Raw genomic sequence first — 22,529 nt, 5'->3', positions numbered from 1 at the left:
TGGGTGAGCTTTTCAAAGGGGATCAGGTCATGTCAGTCTCCCTTCTAGGGCCCTCCATGGCTTCCCACAGCAACCAGAATCAAATCCAGACATCCTACTAGAATTCAGCATTGTCGGACCCACCTTCCCCACCTCCAACCAAGCCCCCTACCACTCAAGCCAACCACAACAATTTCTCTCTTCTTCAGATACTCCAGACTAGTTCCTGCCTCAGGGCCTTTGCACCTGCTGATCTCTCTGCCTGCAATATTTCTCCCATATCTTTCCATGGTTGCCTCCTTGCCATTACTCAGGCCTCAGTTCAAATAATAACAGGGCTTTCTTGATCTCCTGTCCACAAAAGCCCCTCCCCTCTCCTCTAGGCATCTGCCCTCACCTCACTTTTTAAATTTTCTTTGTAGCACTTATCACACTTTCAAATGATCAGCTTTGGCCGGGCGCAGTGGCTCATGCCTGTAATCCCAGCACTTTGGGAGGTGGAGGCAGGCGGATCATTTGAGGTCAGGAGTTTGAGACCAGCCTGGCCAACATGATGAAACCCCATCTCTACTAAAAATACAAAAATTAGCCGCCGTGGTGGCACACACCTGTAATCCCAGCTACTCGGGAGGCTGAGGTAGGAGAATCGCTTGAACCTGGGAGGCAGAGGTTGCAGTGAGCAGAGATCATGCCACTGCACTCCTGCCTGGGCAACAGAATGACACTTCGTCTAAAAAAAAAAAAAAATTGGCAAGGCGCAGTGGCTCACGCCTGTAATCCCAGCACTTTGGGAGGCCAAGGCAGGCAAATCACCTCAGGTCGGGAGTTCAAGACCAGCCTGACCAACATGGATAAACCCCACCTCTACTAAAAATACAAAATTAGCCAGGTGTGGTGGTGCATGCCTGTAATCCCAGCTACTGGGGAGGCTGAGGCAGGAGAATCACTTGAACCCTGGAAGTGGAGGTTGCAGTGAGCCGAGATCATGCCATTGCACCCCAGCCTGGGCAACAAGAGTGAAACTCCTCTCAGAAAAAAAAAAAAATGGTAGGCCAGGCACAGTGGCTCATGTCTGTAATCCCAGCACTTTGGGAGGCTGAGGTGGGCAGATCCTGAGGTCAGGAGATCGAGATCATCCTGGCTAACATGGTGAAACCCCATCTCTACTAAAAACACAAAAAATTAGCCAGGTGTGGTGGCAGTCACCTGTAGTCCCAGCTACTCAGGAGGCTGAGGCAGGAGAATGGCATGAACCCGGGAGGCAGAGCTTGCAGTGAGCCGAGATGGTGCCACTGCACTCCAGCCTGGGTGACAGAGTGAGACTCTGTCTCAAAAAAAAAAAGTAAATATTATTTTATTACCTTATTACTTTATTACTTATTATTGGTTAATCCCTTCTTCATGTGCCAGGCCCCCCACTGGGAATGGGAGACAAGAGTTGACCAAGGCAAGCACCAGCCCTGTTCATAGATGTTGGAGTCAATAGAGGGCCACTAACATGGTTTGGATATTGTTCCCTCAAAATCTCATGTTGAAACGTGATCCCTAATGTTGGAAGTGGGGCCTAGTGGGAGGTGTTTGGGTCTTGGGGGCGGATCCCTCATGAATGGTTTGCTGCTCTTCTGCAGTAATGAGTTCACATGAAAGCTGGTTGTTTAAAAGAGCCTGGCACCTCCTCCTTCCTCTCTTGCTCCCTAGCTCTTACTTCCACTTGCCATGTGACGTGCAGCTCCCCATTTGCCTTCCACCATGATTGGAAGCTTCCTGAGGCCTCACCAGAAACCGAGCAGGTGTTGGTGCCACATGCTTGTATGGCCCACAGAACTGCGAGCCAAATAAACCTCCTTTCTTTACAAATTACCCAGCCTTGGCTGGGCACAATAATTCACATCTGTAATCCCAAAACTTTGGGAGCCCAAAGCAGATGGATCTCCTGAGGTCAGGATTTCGAGACCAGCCTGGCCAATATGGTGAAACCCCATCTCTACTAAAGATACAAAAAATTAGACAGGCAAACCTCATGAGACATGAATAAACAGCCAGGGGAGTTCTTGATGAAAAAAGAGGCTGCTGGTTGTTGGTAAGAGAACAGCAACAGGGTGGATGCAAAACAGCTGCCATGCCCCATTTCTCAGCCCTCACCCTACCATGAGGCTGCAGGAATAGCTTTCCTGGAATGGCTGGCTGGTTGCAAGGTGGGCAAGATGACCCTTGTCCTCCAAAAATTGGGGCATTTTTGAGTCCTGAGGGATTAGCACAGACTCCTGTATTGGTTTCAGCCCTCTTGTGCTTCCTATGGCAGCATCCATCAGGAGATTTGAAAGTAAAGAACACCTTTTTGTAGCCAGAAATTTACAGATATCATTTCCAGGTCACTGGTTGCCTGTAAAGATTATGAAACAAAAACATCAGTAACCACATGCAATAAGGACTACACACTTTGCAAACATAGTTTGGAAAAGTCTCTAAACAAACAGATGGCTGCAACCCTCAACAAGCAAAAATCAGCAATCCCTGAAGAGGAGGAGAATCTGATTTTCAGAGTTACTACAATAATACCCAAAATGCCAAGTGCTCAACAAAATATTACAAAGCATACAAAGAAAAAGGAAAGTATAGCCTATTCACAGGGGGAAAAAAAGAATTCAATAGAAGCCATCCCCAAGGAAGCCTTTACATTGGAAACATTAGTCAAAGACATTAAATCAACTGTCTTACACCCAATGAGCTAAAGGAAACCAAAATAATATATGAACAAATAGGGAAGGCCAATGAAGAGATAGTTTAATCTTATAAAAAGGAACAAAATAGAAATCCTGGAGCCGAAAAGTACAATAGCTTGAACTTAGAAATTCACTAGAGAGATCAAAAAGCTGATCTGAAGAATCAGGAAGAAGAAAGAACCAGTGAACTTGAAGATAAGGCAATTGAAATTGTCCAGTTGTAAAGAGAGAAAAATAAATAACGAAAAATAGGCTGGCCATGGTGGCTCATGCCTGTAATCCCAGCACTTTGGGAGGCCGAGGAGGGTGGATCACTTGAATTCAGGAGTTTGAGATCAGCCTGGCCAACATGGTGAAACCCCATCTCTACTAAAATACAAAAATTAGCCAGGCATTGTGACGCGCACCTGTAACCCTAGCTGCTGGGGAGGCTGAGGCCAGAGAATCACTTGAATCAAGAAGGAGGAGGTTGCAGTGAGCCAAGATCATGCCACTGCACTCCAGCCTGGGCAATAGAGTGAGACTCTATCTCAAAAAAAAGAAAAGGAAAAATGAACAGAGCCTGATAGATCCATGTGATGCCATCAAGCATATATCAACATATGCATAGTAGAAGTTCCTGAAGGAGAAGAGGAACAGGAAGGGACAGAAAAAGAAATTTGAAGAAATAATGGCTGAAAACTTCCCAAATTTGATGAAGGATATGAACATACACGTCCAAGAAGCTTAACAAATTACAAGCGCGAGAAACTCAGAGATTCATACTGAAACTCACAGCCAGATTGTCAAAAATCAGAAACAAAAAGAGAATCTTGAAAGCAGCAAGAGAGGAACAACTTGTAAGGTACAAGGAGTCCTCAGTAACATTAATAGCTAAGCTTTCATCAGAAACCATAGAGGGGCTGGGTGCAGTGGCTCAGGCCTGTAATTCCAGCACTTTGGGAGGCCGAGGTGGGCAGATCGCCTGAGGTCAGGAGTTCGAGACCAGCCTGACCAATATGGCGAAACCCCATTCTACTAAAAATACAAAAATTAGCCAGATGCGGTGGTGGGCACCTGTAATCCTATCTACTTGGGAGGCTGAGGCTGGAGAATTGCTTGAACCTGGGAAGTGGAGGTTTCAGTGAGCCAAGATTGCACCACTGCACTCCAGCCTGGGCACAAGAGCAAAACTCTAAAAAAGCAAAACTCCATCTCAAAAAAAAATTTTTTTTAAGTGCCGGGCACAGTGGCTCACGCCTATAATCCCAGCACTTTGGGAGGCCAAGGCAGGTGGATCATGAGGTCAGGCATTCTAGACCAGCCTGGTCAACATAGTGAAACCCTGTCTCTACTAAAAATACAAAAAACTAGCCAGGCGTGGTGGCGGGTGCCTGTAGTCCCAGCTACTTGGGAGACTGAGGCAGGAGAATTGCTTGAACCTGGAAGGCAGAGGTTGCAGTGAGCCAAGACGGCACCATTTCACTCCAGCCTGGATGACAGTGTGAGACTCCATCTCAAAAAAAAAGAAAAGAGAAAAGAAAAGAAAAGAAAAGAAAAGGAACCAGAGGCCCAGAGGCAGTGGAATAACACAGTTAAAGTCCTGGGGAAAAAAAAAAAAAAGACTGTCAACCAAGAATTTCCTACCAGACAAACTATCCTTCAGGAATAAAGGAGAAATTAAGACATTTTCAGATAAATAAACGCAGAGAAAGCTCATTGCTAGTAGCCCTGCTCTACAAGAGCTGCTAAAATGAATCCATCAGGCTGAAATGAAAGGAAACTTGATAGTAATTCAAAGCCATGATGAGAAAAAAAAAGAACACTGATAAAAATAGTAACTACATACATCAGTAAATATAAAAGCCAGTATTATTGTAGGTTTTGTTCATAATACTTTGTTTTTCACCTATCATTTAAAGGGCAAATGCATGAAACAATAATTATAAATCTATGTTAATGGGCACAGAATGTATAAAGATATGATCTGGGACAATAATAATATAAAGAGGGAGGGAAAGAGATGTATAGGAGCAAAGTATTTGTATACTCTTAAAACTAAGTTAGTATTATTCAAATTAGGGTGTTATAAATTTAAGATGCTAATTGTGATCCCCAAGGCAACCGCTAAGAAAATAACTAAAAAATATACAGACAGGGAAAGAAAAAAGGAATCAAAATGATACACTAAAATCTATTAAATACCAAAAAAATGTAGTAGTGGAGGAATTGAGGAACAAAATTTAAAAAATGTACAGAAAAGCAAATAGCTATTAAATAAATGGCAGAATTAAATCCTTTATTGGTAATTACTTTAAATGTAAATGGACTAAACTGTCTAATTAAAGGGCAGAGATTGATAGAATGGATTTCTAAAAATTATTAATTTATATGCTGTCTGCAAGAGACTTACTTTGGATCAAAAGATTCGAAAGGATGGAAAGTAAGAAAATAATATGGGCATGTTGGCTTATGCCTGTAATCCCAGCACTTATGCTACCAATCCCTGGGAAGCCAAAGCAGGTGGATCACTTGAGCCCAGGATTCAAGACTATCCTGAGCAACATAGTGAGACCTGGTCTCTAAAAATAAATAAATAAATAAATAAAATTAAAAAAAAATAAGCCAGGTTTGGTGGCACATGCCTGTAGTCACAGCGACTTGGGAGGCTAAGGCAGGAGGATTGCTTGAGCCCAAGAGGTCGAAGCTGCAGTGAGCTATGAGCTCACCACTGCACTACAGCCTGGGCTACAGAGCAAGACCTCATGTCATAACAGAGAAGAAGAGATCTGAACAGTAGCATGTGTGTACACATAAGAAAAACCACGTGGGATTGTAGTGAGAAGGCAGCATCTGCAAGCCAAGGGGTGAGGCCTGAGAAAATATCAACCCTGCTGACACCTTGATCTTGGACTTCCAGCCTCCAGAATTGTGAGAAAATAAATTTCTATTGTTTAAGCTACTCACTTCGTGATAAAGTGTTATCATGGCCCTAGCAAACTAACATATCAATAACCTAACTATGTGGCTTAGGTAACTAGAAAAAGAAGAGTAAACTAAAACCAAAGCTAGCAGAAAGATGGAATAAGGCCAGGCATGGTGGCTGATGCCTGTAATCCTAGCAATTTGTGAGGCCAAGGCAGGTGGATCACCTAAGGTCAGAAGTTCAAGACCAGCCTGGCCAACATGGTGAAACCCCGTCTCTTCTAATAATACAAAAATTAGCCGGGCGTGGTGGCAGGCACCTGTAATCCCAGCTACTTGGGAGGCTGAGGCAGGAGAATCACTGGAACCTGGGAGGCAGAGGTTGCACTGAGCCGAGATGGCACCACTGCACTCCAGCCTGGGTGACAGAGCAAGACTTCATCTCAAAAAAAAAAAAAGGGAAGAAAAGAAAAAGAAAGAAGGAATAACAAAGATTAGAGTGGAGAAAAACAAAACAGAAAACAGAAAAATGATAGAGGAAATCAATGAAAATAAAAGTTGATTTTTTTTTTTTAAAGAGATCGAGTCTCACTCTGTTGCCCAGGCTGGAGTGCAGTAGCACAGTCTCGGCTCACTGCAACCTCCGCCTCCCGGGTTCTAGCAATGCTCCTGCCTCGGCCTCCTGAGTAGCTGGGATTACAGGTACACGCCATCATGCCTGGCTAATTTTTTTGTATTTTAGTAGAGATAGGGTTTCACCGTGTTGCCCAAGCTGATCTTGAACTCCTGGGCTCAGGCAATCCACCCACCTCAGCCTCCAAAAGTGCTAGGATTACAGGAGTGAGCCACCACACCCAGTGAAAAGTTGATGTTTTTAAAGATCAACAAAATTGACTAAGAAAAAAAGAGAAAAGAGTCAAATTACTAAAATCAGAAATGAAAGTGAGACAGTACTGTTTTGCAGAAATAAATTGGATAATACTATAAACAATTGTACTCCAAAAAATCAGAAAACCTTAGATGAAATGTACAAATTTTTAGAAAAACACAAACTACCAAAACTAACTCAAGAAGAAATAGAAAATCTGATTGGATCTATAACAAGTAAGGATATTGAATCAGTAATCAAAAAGTTTCCAACAAAAAAGCGCAGGAACAGATTGTTTCAAGATGAATTCTACTAAACATTTAAAGAAGTAACACAAATCCTTCTCAAACTCTTCTAAAGATTGAAGAGGAAAGAACACATTCTATGAGGCCAGCAAGACAAAGACACTGAGAGAAAAGAAAACTGCAGACCACTGCTCCTTATGAACATAAACACAAAAATTCTCAACAAAATACTAACGAATTTGGCAGCGTATTTGTAAGATTATATACCATGAACAAGTGGAATTTATTCCAGAGACACAATGGTGATTCACCATATAAAAATAAATCGATGTAGTCCGGGTGTGGTGGCTCACACCTGTAATCCCAGCACTTTGGGAGGCTGAGGCGGGTGGATCACCTGAGGTCAGGAGTTCGAGACCAGCCTGGCCAACATGGTGAAATTCTGTCTCTACTAAAAATACAAAAAATTAGCTGGATGTGGTGATGGGCACCTGCAATCCCAGCTACTCAGGAGGCTGAGGCAGGAGAATTGCTTGAACCCGGGAGGCAGAGGTTGCAGTGAACCAAGATCGTGCCACTGCACTCCAGCCCGGGCAACAAGAGGGAAACTCAGTCTAAAAAAAAAAAAAAAGGAATGAAGGGGGGAAAACCACATAATAATCTCAAATGGGCCTGGCACGGTGGCTCACGCCTGTAATCCCAGCACTTTGGGAGGCCGAGGCAGGTGAATCACCTGAGGTCAGGAGTTCAAGACAAGCCTGGCCATTATGGTGAAACCCCATCTCTACTAAAAATACAAAAATTAGCCGGGTGCGGTGGCAGACACCTGTAATCCCAGTTACTTGGGAGGCTGAGGCAGGAGAGTCACTTGAGCCCGGGAGGCGGAGGTTGCAGTAAGCTGAGATCACACCACTGCACTCCAGCCTGGGTGACAGACCAAGACTGTGTCTCAAATAATAATAATAATCATCATCATCATCATAATCATCATCTCAAATGATGCCGAAAAAGCATTTGACAATATCCAACATCAAGATAAAACACTTAGTAAAGTAGGAATAGAAACGAACCTCTTCAACGTTATTAGGACCATATAAGAAAAGCCCATAACTAACATAATAATGAGAGACTGAAGATTTTTTTCCTCTAAATTGGGAACAAGACAAGGATGCCCACTTTTACCACTACTATTTAGCGTAGTACTAAGAGTTCTAGTCACAGCAACTAGGCAAGATAAAGAAATGAAAGGCAGCCAAGTTAGAAAAGAAGAAGTAATATTATCTCTCTTGGTAGATGATATAATCTTATATGTAGAAAATCCTAATGAATACCCACCCAACACACACACACACACACACACACACACACACACACAACTGTTAGAGCTAATAAATTCAGCAAAGCTGCAGGATACAAAATCAACACACAAGAATCAGTTTCTATATAGTAGGATATATATTTCTAAGTAGTAGGAAACAACAATCTGAAAAGAAAATTGAGAAAACAATTCCATGTACAGTAACATCAAGAATAAAATATTTAGTAAAAAAATTAACCAAGGAGGAGCAAGTTTGTACATCGAAAACTACAAAACACTGCTGAAAGAAATTAAACAGAAATATACAGAAGAACATCTTGCCTTCATGGATTGGAAGACAATATTGTTAAGATGACAATTGTTATGGGCTGAATGTTAGTGTTCTTCCAAAATGCATATGTCAGTGCCCTAACCACCAATGGGACTGTTTCTGAAGATAGGGCCTTTATGGAAGTAATTAATGTTAAATGAAGGTGGGGCCTTGGTTCAATAGGATTAGTGTCCCTATCCTGGCAGAGATACCAGAGAGCTTTCTCTTGCTCTGCATGCAAGGAAAGACCATCCAAGGACATAGTAAGAAGGTGGTCATGGACAAGCCAGGAAGAGAAACTTCATGAGAAACTGGCTTTTCCAACACCTTCATCATGGATCCTTAGTTTCCAGAGCTGTGAGGAATATAAATTTCTATTGTTTAAGCCACCTGTCATGGTATTTTGTTATAGCAGTTCAAGCAGACTAATACAACAATGTTCTCCAAAGCCATCCACAGATTCAGTGCAATTCCTATCCAATCCCAATGGCATTTTTTTTGCAGAAGTAGGCAAACTGGTCCTAAAATTTGTATGGAATTTCAAGAGACCCCAAATAACCAAAATAACCGAAAAAGAAGAACAAAGTTGGAGGTCTCATACTTCCTGATTTCAAAACTTACTACAAAGCTACAGTAATCAAAATACTATGAAGCCAGGCAGATGGCTCATGCCTGTAATCCCAACACATTGGGAAGCCAAGGCAGGTAGATCACTTGAGGTCAGGAATTCGAGGCCAGCCTGGCCAACATGGTGAAACCCTGTCTGTACTAAAACTACAGAAAAAAAAAAAAAAAAGACAGGCATGGTGGCAGTTAGTAGTATTCCTGTCTACTACTTGGGAGGCTGAGGCACGAGAATCACTTGAATGCAGGAGGCAGAGGTTGCAGTGAGCCGAGATCGCACCACTGCACTCCAGCCTGGATGACAGAGCAAGACTTTGTCTCAAAAAACAAAAAAAACAAAAAACATTGTGGTCTCAGATAGTCATATAGTCCAATAGGCTAGAATAAAGAGCCCAGAAAATAAACCCTCTCGCGTACTGATTTTTGACGAGAATTTCAAGACCATTCAATAAGAAAAGGACAGTCTCTTTAATAAATGGTGCCTTACATAAGAAGAATATATATGGAAAAGGAAAAAAAAAACACAAATGGTGCCAAGGAAGCTGGATATCCACATGCAAAAGAATGAAGTTGAACCCTTGCCTTACACTATGAATAAAAATTAACTCAAGATTGATCAAAGACCTGAACGTAAGACCTAAAGTCAAACACAGAAGAAACCATAGGGGCAATCATGATCTTAGATTTGGCAATGGTTTCTCAAATAGGCCACCAAAAGCACAGGTAGCAAAAGAAAAAAACTGTAAATTGGATGTCATCAAAATTAAAAACTTTTATGCATCAAAGGACACTATCAACCGGGCTCATTGGTTCATGCGTGTAATCCCAGCACTTTGGGAGGATGAGGTGGGCAGATCACTTGAGGTCAGGAGTTCAAGACCAGCCTGGCCAACATGGTGAAACCCCATCTCTACTAAAAATACAAAAAATTAGCCTGGTGTTGGGTGGCACCTGTAGTACCAGCTACTTGGGAGGCTGAGGCAGGATAGTCACTTGAACCCTGGAGGCAGAGGTTGCAGTGAGCTGAGATCACACCACTGCACTCCACCCTGGGAGACAGAGCAAAACTCAGTCTCAAAAAAAAAAAAAAAAAGAGACACTGTCAAGAGAGTGAAAAGATAACACACAGAACGAGAAGAAACACTTGCAAATCTTGTATCTTATATATAAGGGTTTAATATCAAGCATATATATATTGCACTGTTTTTTTGTTGTCATTGAGTTGTAGGAGTTTCATGGAAAACCCCAAAATGAGCAAAGAACTTGCATAGCTATTTCTCCAAAGAAGATATACAAATGGCCAATAGGCACATGAAAAGATGCTCAATATCACTAATTATTAGGGAAATGCAAATCTGAATCACAATGACAGACCATCTCACAGCTGCTAGGATAGCTATTATTTTTTATTTTTTTATTTTATTTCTTTAATTTTTTGAGATGGAGTCTCACTCTGTGGCCCAGGATGGAGTGCAGTGGCACTATCTCAGCTCACTGCAACCTCCACCTCCTGGGTTCAAGCCATTCTCCTGCCTCAGCCTCCCAAGTAGCTGGGATTACAGGCACCTGCCACCACACCCCGCTAATTTTTGTATTTTTAGTAGAGATGGGGTTTCACCATGTTGGCCAGGCTGGTCTCCAACTCCTGACCTCAAGTAATCTGCCCACCTCAATCTCCCAAAGTGCTGGGATTACAGGCATGAGTCACCGCACCCAGCCTTAAATTTTTTTTTAATTAATGGAAAATAAATGTTGGCAAGGATGTAGAGAAATTGAAACTCTCTTTCATTCCTGGTGGGAAGATAAAATGGTACAGCCATTCTGGAAGACAGTTTGGCAGTTTCTTACAAAGTCAAACATAGACTTATACAACCCAGCAATCACAATCCCAGGCATTACCCAACTGAGTTGAAAATTTGTGTCAATACAAAAACCTCTATGCAAATATTCATAGCAGCAAAGCAAGAACACGGTTTCAGTATACATGTGTTTAGTGACCATGATAATGTGCAAACCAAGAATTGCCTGTTTTGAATGTGTTACTTCCTGTCTTGGAGCCTCACTTTCTCTAAATAAGAGGAAGAGCCTGAGGATTCCTGAGAGGTTTCCTACTTTGCTGGTGAAGGAACTTGGGAGTCTGCAAATGTCCCTAAATGAGTTCTGGGTGTCACCTTGACCTGGCTTCACACTTAGAGTTGCCAGGTTTAGCAAATACAAATATAGGTCATTCGATTAAATTTGAATTTCAGATAAACAACAAGTAATCTTTTAGTATAAGTATGTCCATGTAATATTTGGAGCACCCTTCTACCGAAAAGAAAATTCATGGTTTATCTGAAATTCAAATTTAATACAGCCTCTTGTATTTTATCTGGCAATCCTATTCCCACTACTGCCCTTGAGAGCCTCCCCGCTTCCCCTCCACATCCATTCTCCTATGTTGCTTTGAAAATAAACAAGCATCAGGGACTGACACACTGATTTCAAAGTCCCTGCCACTTAAATGGATCCCTTTCATCTACCAGGAACTGAAGATGGAAACAAGTGGGCGGAGACAAAAGAGAGCTGAGTGAAGGGAGGTGGTGGAAAGGAAAGGGGCGTTTCGTGACATCGGCCCAGACTGCTGTCTCCACTGAGGCTCAGGGGCCTCAGGGTTGGCCTCCTGCACTCCTTCTCAGCCTTGGATGCATGTTGGGAGCTCCGAAAAATAATGCTTGGGCGTGACCTGGGCGGTGGGAAGTTTTTAAGCTTCTCTAGTGATTCCTCGAAACAGCCTAGGCTGCTGTTTTCTTGCTGCTAGCAAACCAGCCAAACTCAGTGGCAAAAATCACCGCTCCCAGCCAGGCAGCCGGGCAGCTCTCATTCAGAGGCTCATGCAGCTGCGGTCATCTTGAAAACTTCTGCTTGCACATATCTGGACTTGAGATTAACTGTCACCTGGGATCTCAGTAGGGCAGTCAACCAGATCACCTGTATGTGGCCTTGCCTTATAGCCTGGGCTTCTTTGCAGCACGCCTGTTGAGTTCCAAGGGAGCCAGACAGAAGTGGCATGGCCTTTTCTAATCTAGCCTGGAGTGTCGTGTAGTATCCCTTCAGCCACATTCTACTCATCAGAAGCAAGTCACTAAGGCCAGCTCACATTCAAGAGGGATGGAATTAGGCCGGGCACCGTAGGTCACGCCTAATCCCAGCATTTTGGGAGGCCGAGGTGGGCAGATCACTTGAGGTCAGGAGTTTGAGACCAGCCTGACCAACATAACAAAACCCCATCTCTACTAAAAATACAAAAATTAGCTGGGCATGATGGCAGGCGTCTGTAATCCCAGCTACTGGGGAGGCTGAGGCATGAGAATTGGTTGAACCCAGGAGGTGGAGGTTGCAGTGAGCTGAGATCACGCCATTGCACTCCAGCACTCTAGCCTGGGCGACAGAGTGAGACTCTGTCTCAAAAAAAAAAAAAAAAAAAAAAAAAAGCCGGGTGCAGTGGCTCATGCTTGTAATCCCAGTACTTTGGGAGGCCGAGACAGGTGGATCACCTGAGGTCAGGAGTTCAAAACCAGCCTGGCCAATATGGTGAAACCCCGTGTCTACTAAAATAAAAGATTAGCCGGGTGTGGTGGCATGTGCCTGTAATCCCAGCTACTCAGGAGGCTGAGGGAGAAGAATCACTTGAACCTGGGAGGCAGAGGTTGCAGTGAGCCGAGATTGCACCACTGCACTCCAGCCTGAGCAAGACAGCAAGACTCCATTTCAGAAAAAAAAAAAAAAAAAAGAGGGATGAAATTAGACTTCATCTCTTGATGGGACAAATGCCAAGGAATTTGTGATCCTATGTGAAGACCACCACAGCTACCACTGGAATAAAGTCTCCAGAATCCATTCTCCTGTCTACACTCCCCCAGCCCAAGACACCATCACTGCTCACCTGGGAAGTCCAGTAGCCTCTGCAGGGTCTCCCTGCCTCCCATCTCCCACCCCAGGCTGTCCTCCACACTGCAGCTGGAGTCTCGAGCCCAGAGAGTGGAGTCCACGGCCCCCACAAGCTGGTCTTTGTGTCTCCAATTCATTCGCATCCTCAAGCTCCCAGGCAGAGCCAGACTCAGTACAAGCAGGTGCTCTCCCGAGCCATGCATGAGCCTAGCTCCTGCCAGACAGGCACGTCATCCCTTGGTAGGGAGCCACAAAACTTCCCAACCCCCATCCCTTGCTCCTCCTTCAGGACCTGACCCAGACCCCTCTCCAGGGAAGCCTTCTCTGAGCATCCCCAAGGTGGGTCAAGCTCAACACCCTGGCCTTTCCTTTGCAATGTATAGGTCGTTTCACACATTTTCTTTTAACCTTGTACTGCAGTTTAACACATATGCAGAAAAGTGCACAAATCCTTAGCGAATTTTCACAAAGTGAGCAATCCTGTATATCCAGCTCTCAGGTCAAGAAACAGAACATTTCTAAGGCTGGGTGAGGTGGCTCATGCCTGCAATCCCAGCACTTTGGAAGACTGATGCAGAAAGATCACTTGAGGGAAGGAGTTCAAGTCTAGTCTGGGCAACATAGTGAGACCTCTTCTCTATAAAAAATTTTTTAAAATTAGCCAGGCATGTTGGCACATTCCTGTAGTCCTGGCTACTCAGGAGGCTGGGGCAGGAAGATCACTTGAGCCCAGGAGGTTGAGGCTGCAAAAAGCTATAATTGTACCACTGCACTCCAGCCTGGGCAACAGAATAAGATTCTGTTGAAGGAAAGAAGGTAGGAAGGAAGGAAGGAAGGAAGGAAGGAAGGAAGGAAGGAAGGAAGGAAGGAGAGAGGAAGAAAGAGAGAAGATTTTTATTCGGGTAATGGGTGCACCAAAATATCAGAAATCACTGCTAAAGAACTTATTCATGTAACCAACACCACCTGTTCCTTAAAAACCTATTGAAATAAAAACAGAAAGAAAGAGAGAAAGAGGAAGGAAGGAAGGAAGGAAAGAAGGAAGATTGATTCCTAGAACCCCAGGAGCCCTCCAAGGTCCTTTTGTTCACCATCCACCATCCCTTCCTCCCCCCAGTCCTGGTAACCACTATTCCAACTTCCAATCCTTTGGACTAGTGCCATCTGTTTTTAAACTTCATACCAATGGACTCATACGGTATGTGCTCTGGGGTCTGGTTTCTGTGTCCAGTTTCATGTTAGTTCTTGTAGCATTTTAATCAGAGCCGGTCACATAATTTGTAGTGCCCAGTGCAAAATGAAAGTGTGGACCATCCCCTCCAACCCCACCCCCAACACCATTCAAAAGTTATTAAGAATTTCAAGATGGCAGCTGCAGAGCCTAAGTCAGTCACGGGATTCTTCTGAGTGCACAGCCCTGTGTAAGTCACACACGCCCACGAAGCCATCCTGTTTCCAGTTGCCTGTTTGGTCGAGTGTCTCTTCCTTGAGGGCAAGAGCTGTGCTGGGGGAAAGTCACCATCTCTGTGGAGTTTCTTCAGCCTTCATTCATTAAAACCTCACAGAGGCCCTGAGGCCAAGAAGGAGGGTGATCATTATAAGCATCACACCTGTTTAATTGATGCAATGTCTAGACTGAAAATGCCGCGGGACTCAGCCAAGGTCCCCCAGTGAGTGAGTGCAGGGGCGGACCTCACACACAAGCCCTCTGGCTCTAGGCAGCCTCCCCCTGCCTCCAGCTCTGCCCTAGAATCTACTGCATGCCAAGTACCGGACCCAGGACAAAGGGAAAAAAGAGTTCCTGCCCAAAAGGAACTCTCAATTCAACTGGAAAACAAAAACAGGACTTACACACATGAAGACATTATTAACCAAAACATTTTGTCCTTCATGTGCGGGCCTTGTAGCTGCAAGAATTGGAGGCTGTCTCTGCCTAACCAAGCAAGAAGGATCAACAAGAGAGGGTGCAGCAAGGTGTGGTGGCTCACGCCTGTAATCCCAGCACTTTGGGAGGCCAAGGCAGGGGGATCACCTAAGGTCAGTAGTTCGAGACCAGCCTGGCCAACATGGTGAAACCCCGTCTCTACCAAAAATACAAAAATTAGCCGGGCGTGGTGGTGCATGCCTGTGATCCCAGCTACCTGGGAGGCTGAGGCAGGAGAACCACTTGAATCCAGGAGGCGGAGGTTGCAGTGAACCGAGATCACACTGTTGCACTCCAGCTTGGGCAACAAAGGGAGACTTCATCTAAAAAAAATTAAAAATTAAACAAAATAATAAGAGGGGGTTCAGAGAGCCTGGACAGGAAGCTGAGGGCAGGCAGAGCTCCTGGGAGCCCTAGGGAGCAGTGGAGCCCCACCCCGGCTCTCACAGGGGCATGGTCTGGTCAGTGTGCTGCTGTTGCATCTGTGCAACACACACTCCAGCCATCCCATCAGTCCCGGTATCACTTGCTCACAGGACAGCCTCTGATTGGCTGAGCTCTGGCCTGGGGCTCAACCCCTGGCTCTCCTAGAGCTGGGAGACAGACGGAGGGCCTGGCCCCTCTGTTCTCACAGTGGGAGGGAGGGAATTCCTCAGAAAGAAATCAAGGGGTCATGAGGACCAGGGATGAAAGCGAGGTGGCTAAAAAATGACAGAAACCCCCTATAATGCACGTGTTTGTTTAGATCGCCAGTACACCGAGCAACAATGGGGGGCTCCTGTCCTTGAAACTGACTTTGCCTGTGCTTGTGGAGGAGGCTGGTAAAACCATTGTAAAAGGTGAGTCCGCAAGCACCCAGGTGTTTGTGAAAGTGTGGTGTGATGGTTACTTTTAGCTGTCAGCTTGACTGGGTTAAGGGATACCCAGATAGCAGGTGCAACATTATTTCTGGGTGCATCTGGGAGGGTGTTTTCAAAGAGATTGGTACTCGAATCAGTAGACCGAGTAAAAAACATCTGCCCTCACCAATGTAGGTGGGCAACATTCAATCCACTGAGGGCCCAAATAGAACAAAAAGACAGAGGAAAAGCAAATTCACTCTCTTCTGGACCTGGGACATCCACCTTCTCCTGCCCTGGGACGTTGAAGCTCCTGGTTCTCAGAACTTCAGGCTCAAACTGAATGATACCATCAGCTTCCGTGGCTCTTCAACCTGCAGATGACATACTGTGGGACTTCTTAGGCTCCTAATCACTCAGGCCAATCTCCATTATAAAGCCCCTCTTCCAGGTCTATAGCTATGTCTACAGCGCCATCTGTATCTTGTTCATTCTGTTTCTCTGACTAATCCATGTGGTTAAAGTAAAATCCTCAAACCTCACACTAACAGCAGAGAAGCTATAACACTGTCAAGCTTCAACTCACCAATGCATATGCCAGAGCCCTCTTAGAAACGTGGCTTCCTTGAAGGGAAGACCATGTTGTCATCAGGGCAGTGACCTCCAAGGAGCCTGGAAAAGAGTGAGAAGACCCACTGGGAATAATGTGGAAAGAATTCCCATCTGTGACATAGGAGAGAGGCCCAGAATCTGGTGGACGTGAAGATTCCAGTTCTATCTTGTGGGCAGGGACACATCCCCAGGCCTCACCCAGCACCCTGGGGCTGGAATACACCTCTAACTTGTATCCTACCTCCAGTCCCAGCTAGGCAGGACTATGATCTGGGAAGTAGATTGTGGGAGCCATGTCGTTTGTGGGTGACAGCTGCCTATTGCTCCCTGGACTGAGCAAAAGAGGTTCCATTTGCCCTCACTACCTCCTCTTTCCAGTGCTAGGCAGGGCAATATCAGTGGCAACGCCATGGGGCATGGTTATGAAAGTGGGAAAATGCTTGATCCCACTTGTGCAAGCATTTTCTACTCTGTGTGTGAGTACAGCAGTCACTGAACAGGGGTGGGGGCCAGGGGCTGCTGCTTTGTGTCCATGTATCAGTTAGCTATTGCTGTGCAACAAATACGCAGCAATAGCTAACCGATACATGGACACTCCAAAGCTCAATGGCTGAAAAAAAACAATAATGTCTTATTTTTCATGAGTTTGTGGGAGGGCTGGAGTGCTGCTGGAGGTTGGAGGCTTGGCTGAGGCAACTCTGCTCCACATATTTTACCCTCATCCTAGGACCTGCTGATTTCGTCCTTATCTTAGAGATGGCAGAAATGCACAAGATGGTATAGAGACACTCAGGGCCTCTGGAACTGGTGCACTGTCACTTCAGCCTGGTTCTGTTGGTCAACACAGGTCTCATGGCCAGCCCAGAGTCACATTGACAGGGCACTGCAAAGTGATGTGGCAAAGGGTGTAGATAACAGAAAGAGGTGATGAAGCGAGGCCAGTACCCAAGGGTGAATGGAGCTGGGGGGCAGAAACTAGGAAGCCAGCTTGATCCATGCCAGGTTGCAAGGGCAAGTTCAGGCCATGCACAGAGGAGTTGGGAGAAGAGTCAAGCCTGGGGGAAATCCCAGGGAAGGTACAGAGACTAAGGAGGCAGAAGGCCATGGTGCTGGTGGCTGAAAGTGGCCTGGAGCAAGCTGGCAGTAAGCATGAGTCTCATCAACTTCGCCTTGTGCCCAGAAAGGGCTTGTGCCAGAGTGCCCAGGCCCATAAAACACCACTTCAGGGCAGACCTGTTCCAAAGATCCAGAGCAATTTTAGATGTATCTGTGTTTCTGTTGTTGTTGATTTTTTTCATTTTTGTTGTTGAGACGAGGTCTCACTATGTTGCCCAGGCTGGCCCTGAACTTCCGGGCTCAAGCACTCCTCCCTCCTGCGCGTCAGCTGGGACTACAAGCACGTGCCACAGCTTGTATCTGTTTTTATTAAAACCATATTTCCTGAATTGTAGCCATTCACATTCAAATTTTATTGATTTTTTTTGCCATATCCGCTTGCCACCTATACTAATATTTACTTAATATTTTTATTTAAATCAACTCATATTTTTTGTTGTCGTTATTTAGTTTTTATTTCATAATCATAAACTTTACAATCCAGCTAGGCATGGAAGGGAATAAGGAAAACTTGGAGCTCAAAGGGAACTGCAGTGAGAGCACAAAGATTATAGGATACTGTGAGCAAATGGGGTGGAGGAGTGCTCTCCGGAGCTAGAGAAGGAATGGTCTTGAGGTTAAGATAAAACACAAGTCGACTGGGCACAGTGGCACATGCCTGTAATCCCAGCACTTTGGGAAGCCAAGGTGGGCGGATAACCTGAGGTCAGGAGTTCAAGACCAGCCTGGCCAACACGGTGAAACCCCGTCTCTACTAAAAATACAAAAATTAGCCAGGCATGGTGGTGCTCACCTGTAATCCCAGCTACTCAGGAGGCTGAGGCAGGAGAATCACTTGAACCTGGGAGGCAGAGGTTGCAGTGAGCTGAGATTGTGACATTGCACTCCACCCTGGATGGCAAGAGTGAAACTGTCTCAAAAACAAAACAAAACGAACACAAGTCAAGCTTATTAGAGTTGTCAACAGTCAGCAATGGTGATCTTCTTGCTGGTCTTGCCATTCCTGGACCCAAAACCCTCCATGGCCTCCACAATATTCATGCCTTCTTTCACCTTGCCAAAGAACACATGCTCACCATCCAACCACTCACTCTTGGCACTGCAGATGAAAAACTGGGAACCGTTTGTGTTGGGTCCAGCATTTTCCTTGGACAAGATGCCAGAACCTGTCTGCTTCAGGATGAAGTTCTCATCATCAAATTTCTCCCCATAGATGTACTTGCCACCACTGCCATTATGGTGTGTGAAGTCACCACCGTGACACATAAACCCCGGAATAATTCTGTGAAAGCAGGAACCCTTATAACCAAATCCTTTCTCTCCAATGCTCAGAGCACAAACATTTTCTGCTGTCTTTGGAAACTTGTCTGCAAACAGCTGGATGGAGATGCGGCCCCAGGGCTCATTGAAGAACTTGGTGGGGTTGACCATAGCTGATAGTATGGGGCCCCTGGAGGCAGTGGCGATGTGTGCAAAACTCAACTTATATTTTTAATGTAAAGATTTAACTTAATAATATTCATGAAATCATTGACTTCTGTGCTTGTTTTATATATATATATATATATACACACACACACACATACACACATACATATATATGTAGATTATTTTTCTGAGGCAGAGTCTCACTCTGTCACCCAGGCTGGGGTGCAGTGGCACAATCTTGGCTCACTGCAACCTCCACCTCCCGGGTTCAAGCAATTCTTATGCCTCAGCATCCTGAGTAGCTGGGGTTACAGGCATGCGCCACCACACCTGGCTAATTTTTGTATTTTTAGTAGAGTCAGGATTTCACCATGTTGACCAGGCTGGTCTCCAACTCCTGACCTCAAGTGACCCACCTGCCTTGGCCTCCCAAAGTGCTGGGATTACAAGTGTGAGCCACTGCACCCAGCTCCAACTCATATATATATATATATATATAAAATGGCACAATCTTGGCTCACTGCAACCTCTGCCTCCCAGGTTCAAGTGATTCTCCTGCCTCAGCCTCCTGAGTAGCTGGGATTACAGGCACCTGCCATCATGCTTGGCTAATTTTTGTATTTTTGTAGAGACAGGGTATCACCATGTTGGCCAGGCTGGTCTTGAACTCCTGACCTCAGGTGATCCATCTGCCTCAGCCTCCCAAAGTGATGGGATTACAGGTGTGAGCCACCGCGCCTGGCCCCAACTCATATTTTTAATGTAAAGATTTGATTTAATAATATTCATGAAATCATTGACTTCTGTACTAGCTGTATCTTTACTAATGTCACAGTAAAACAAAATATAACCTCCAGGACAAAATAATTTTATGTATATATATATATATATATATATATATATATATGTGTGTGTATATATATACGTATATATATATGTGTGTATATATATATACGTGTATATATATATATATATATACACGTATATATATATATATATATATATATATATATATATATATATATTTTTTTTTTTTTTTTAAGATGGAGTCTCACTCTGTCGCCCAGGCTAGAGTGCAATGGTGCGATCTTGGCTCACTGCAACCTCCACACCCCAGGTTCAAGTGATTCTCCTGCCTCAATCTCCCGAGCAGCTGGGATTACAGGCGCCCACCACCACGCCTGGCTAATTTTTGCATTTTTAGTAGAGACAGGGTTTCACCATGTTGCCCAGGCTGGTCTGGAACTCCTGACCTCAGGTGATCTGCCCGCCTTGGCCTCCCAACCATCTAGGATTACACGTATGAGCCATCGCGCCCGGCCAATTATTCATATTGTTAAAGAAAGAAAACAAGTCATAGTAGGATATTTAGAGTGTGAATCCATTTATACAGAAATCGAAAAGATCCACCACTATATATTTGAGGTAAAGTTTAAAAGGGTCAGCCAGGTGAGATCTGGAGTTTGAGACCAACCTGGCCAACATGATGAAACCCTGTCTGCACTAAAAATACAAAAATTAGCTGGGTGTGGTGGTGGATACCTGCAATTCCAGCTACTCAGGAGGCTGAGGCAGGAGAACCGCCTGAACCTAGGTTGCAGTGAGCAGAGATCGCTTCACTGCACTCCAGCCTGGGCACAGAGTGAGACTCTCTCTCAACAAAAAGGAAAAAAGAAAAGTTGACTCCCAGGGAGACATGCATCCAGCTCAAATCTGTCTCCCTCCTGGCTTTAAGGCAGTCATTTTATTAGTCAAGTTTTGGGGTTGGATTAGCAGGTGATTGGTGGAAGGAAGAGGGAGATGGGCAGAATCCTTGAGGATTCATGATTATCTTCTCATGCTAACTTATGGTTCGCGTGTGCAAATTCAGAGGGAGTTATCTGAAACGTGATGGAAATTCAGGCTGTGATGTCAGCAAGCTGGTTCTGCACAGACTCTAGTTGGCCACATTCGTTCCAACTGATTTCAGCCAGTTTTATTATCTTACGAATGAAAGGAGTTTCAGCATTTCAGCAAGTTGTTTCTTTCCTTATCTGCTATCCTGCAAACTCAAGAATTTCTGTTACTTACTGGTTTTGTTGTTGTTGTTGTTGTTGTTGTTGTTGTTGTTGTTGTGAGACAGGGTCTCCCTCTGTCACCCTGGTTGGAGTGCAGTGGTGCGCAATCGTGACTAACTGCAGCCTTGAACTCCTGGGCTCAAGCAATCCTTTTGCCCCAACCTCCTGAGTAACTGGGATGACAGGCATGCGCTACCATGCCCAGCTAATTTTTATTTTATGTAGAGACGGGTTCTCACTGTGTTGTCCAGGCTGGTCTTAAACTCCTGGGCTCAAGCAGTCCTCCTGCCTCAGCCTCCCAAAGTGCTGGGATTACAGACATGAGCCACTGTGCCCAGAGTTACTGATTTCTTTAACTCTTTGAGGCACAATTTCAGAAGGAAAGAAGGATGAAAATATTATGGTTGCAATAGCAGTTACTAAGCAAAAAACAAAACAAAACTAGGACGAAGACTGCCTGCCTGTCTAACATACCAAAATCCATTTCTCCTGGTTTGCTTTGCAAGGCTTAGTCTTCAGCGGCAAGACCTACCTGTGCAGACACTCATCTGGACCCTTCTGTAGCTAGTGCAGACAGCAGGTGCAGAGTGGCTCTCGAGGAACGGCTGTGTGTCCTGCACAGAGGCCTCCTGTGTGGGGCAGGGAGGACAGCAGGAACCGGACACAAACAAAACTACCCTGAAACAGCAGGAACAGGCAATTGCAGGCACAGCATTGAGGCATCGGTCTTACTTTGGGAGGCTGAGGCAGGTGGATCACTTGAGGTCAGAAGTTGGAGACCAACCTGGACAACATCGCGAAATCCCATCTCTACTAAAAATACAAAAATTAATCAACACAAATTTGGGAGTTCCTGCAACACCTCTCAGTGTCATCGGTGGAGGGTGTCCAGGTTCTTGGTGCCTTGAACAAGGAATTGGACAAAACACACAAAGCAAGGAAGGAATGAAGGGATTTATTGAAAATGAAAGTACACTCCACAGTGCAGGAGCGGGCTCGAGCATAGGGGCTCAAGGGCCCGGATACAGAATCTTCTTGGGTCCAAATACTCCCTACAGGTTTCCCATTGGCCACTTGGTGGTCAACTCGTGTAAACCAAGTGGTGGCCCGAAATCTGTCTGATTGGTTGTGGAAAGCAACCAATGGGAAGTTGAGGCAATCCAGTCAGGAGTCAATCTGGGTTTGGCTTTTGTTATTGCCATGGTTTCCGTCAGTGTAACACTAGGTTCAAATTCCTCTAGAATTACCTTGTGCTTCAGATGGGGGTTGAGTTGCTTCAGTGTCTTTCTTTCTCCCTCCCTCCCTCCATCCCTTCTTTCCTTCCTCCTGTTATATGTAAAGTTTCAGTGCCGCAAAACCAATTGCACTCAAATATAAAATTTTCTTTTAATTCTCAGCAAGGCAAGGTACTTCCATAGAAGGGTGCGCCCTTACAGATAGAGCAATGGTGAGCGCACACTTGGACAAGGGAGGGGAAGGGGTTCTTATCCGTGACCCACATGGCCCCTGCTGCTGTGTTGTTCCCCTATTGGTAGAGTTAGACCGCACAGGCTAAACTAATTCTGATTGGCTAATAACGGGGTGAGTGCTTTGGCAGGAAAAATGGTTATGACAGAGCAGGTAATCAGAATGAGTCAGGGTGGAGCAGGTGA

General features: G+C 44.9%; 1 protein-coding gene and 1 pseudogene across 4 annotated transcripts in view, besides 2 other annotated features; both read right to left on the bottom strand.

Annotated features, from left to right (window-relative positions):
• URI1 (URI1 prefoldin like chaperone) overlaps positions 1–16,348 on the bottom strand; it is a 92,956-nt gene extending 76,608 nt beyond the window's left edge. For all 4 annotated transcript variants that reach the window (XM_005259362.3, NM_001252641.2, XM_047439595.1 and 1 more), the window contains exon 1: positions 16,251–16,348. In XM_005259362.3, coding sequence (XP_005259419.1) covers positions 16,251–16,313 — 63 coding nt within the window. In that variant the 5' untranslated portion in view covers positions 16,314–16,348. The remainder of the gene's footprint in view (positions 1–16,250) is intronic.
• Positions 11,188–11,687: an enhancer, noted in NCBI's record as "NANOG-H3K4me1 hESC enhancer chr19:30419225-30419724 (GRCh37/hg19 assembly coordinates)". NCBI's record gives its function as "activates a minimal SCP1, AML or CMV promoter by ChIP-STARR-seq in naive H9 embryonic stem cells {active_cell/tissue: H9 hESC(naive)}" and the evidence as "EXISTENCE:reporter gene assay evidence [ECO:0000049][PMID:30033119]".
• Positions 11,688–12,189: an enhancer, noted in NCBI's record as "NANOG-H3K4me1 hESC enhancer chr19:30418723-30419224 (GRCh37/hg19 assembly coordinates)". NCBI's record gives its function as "activates a minimal SCP1, AML or CMV promoter by ChIP-STARR-seq in naive H9 embryonic stem cells {active_cell/tissue: H9 hESC(naive)}" and the evidence as "EXISTENCE:reporter gene assay evidence [ECO:0000049][PMID:30033119]".
• PPIAP58 (peptidylprolyl isomerase A pseudogene 58) lies at positions 17,834–18,870 on the bottom strand (annotated as a pseudogene).

This window comes from Homo sapiens, chromosome 19 (assembly GCF_000001405.40).
Source record: "Homo sapiens chromosome 19, GRCh38.p14 Primary Assembly".
NCBI lineage: Eukaryota > Metazoa > Chordata > Mammalia > Primates > Hominidae > Homo > Homo sapiens.
This window is presented reverse-complemented; position numbering and strand designations above follow the sequence as displayed.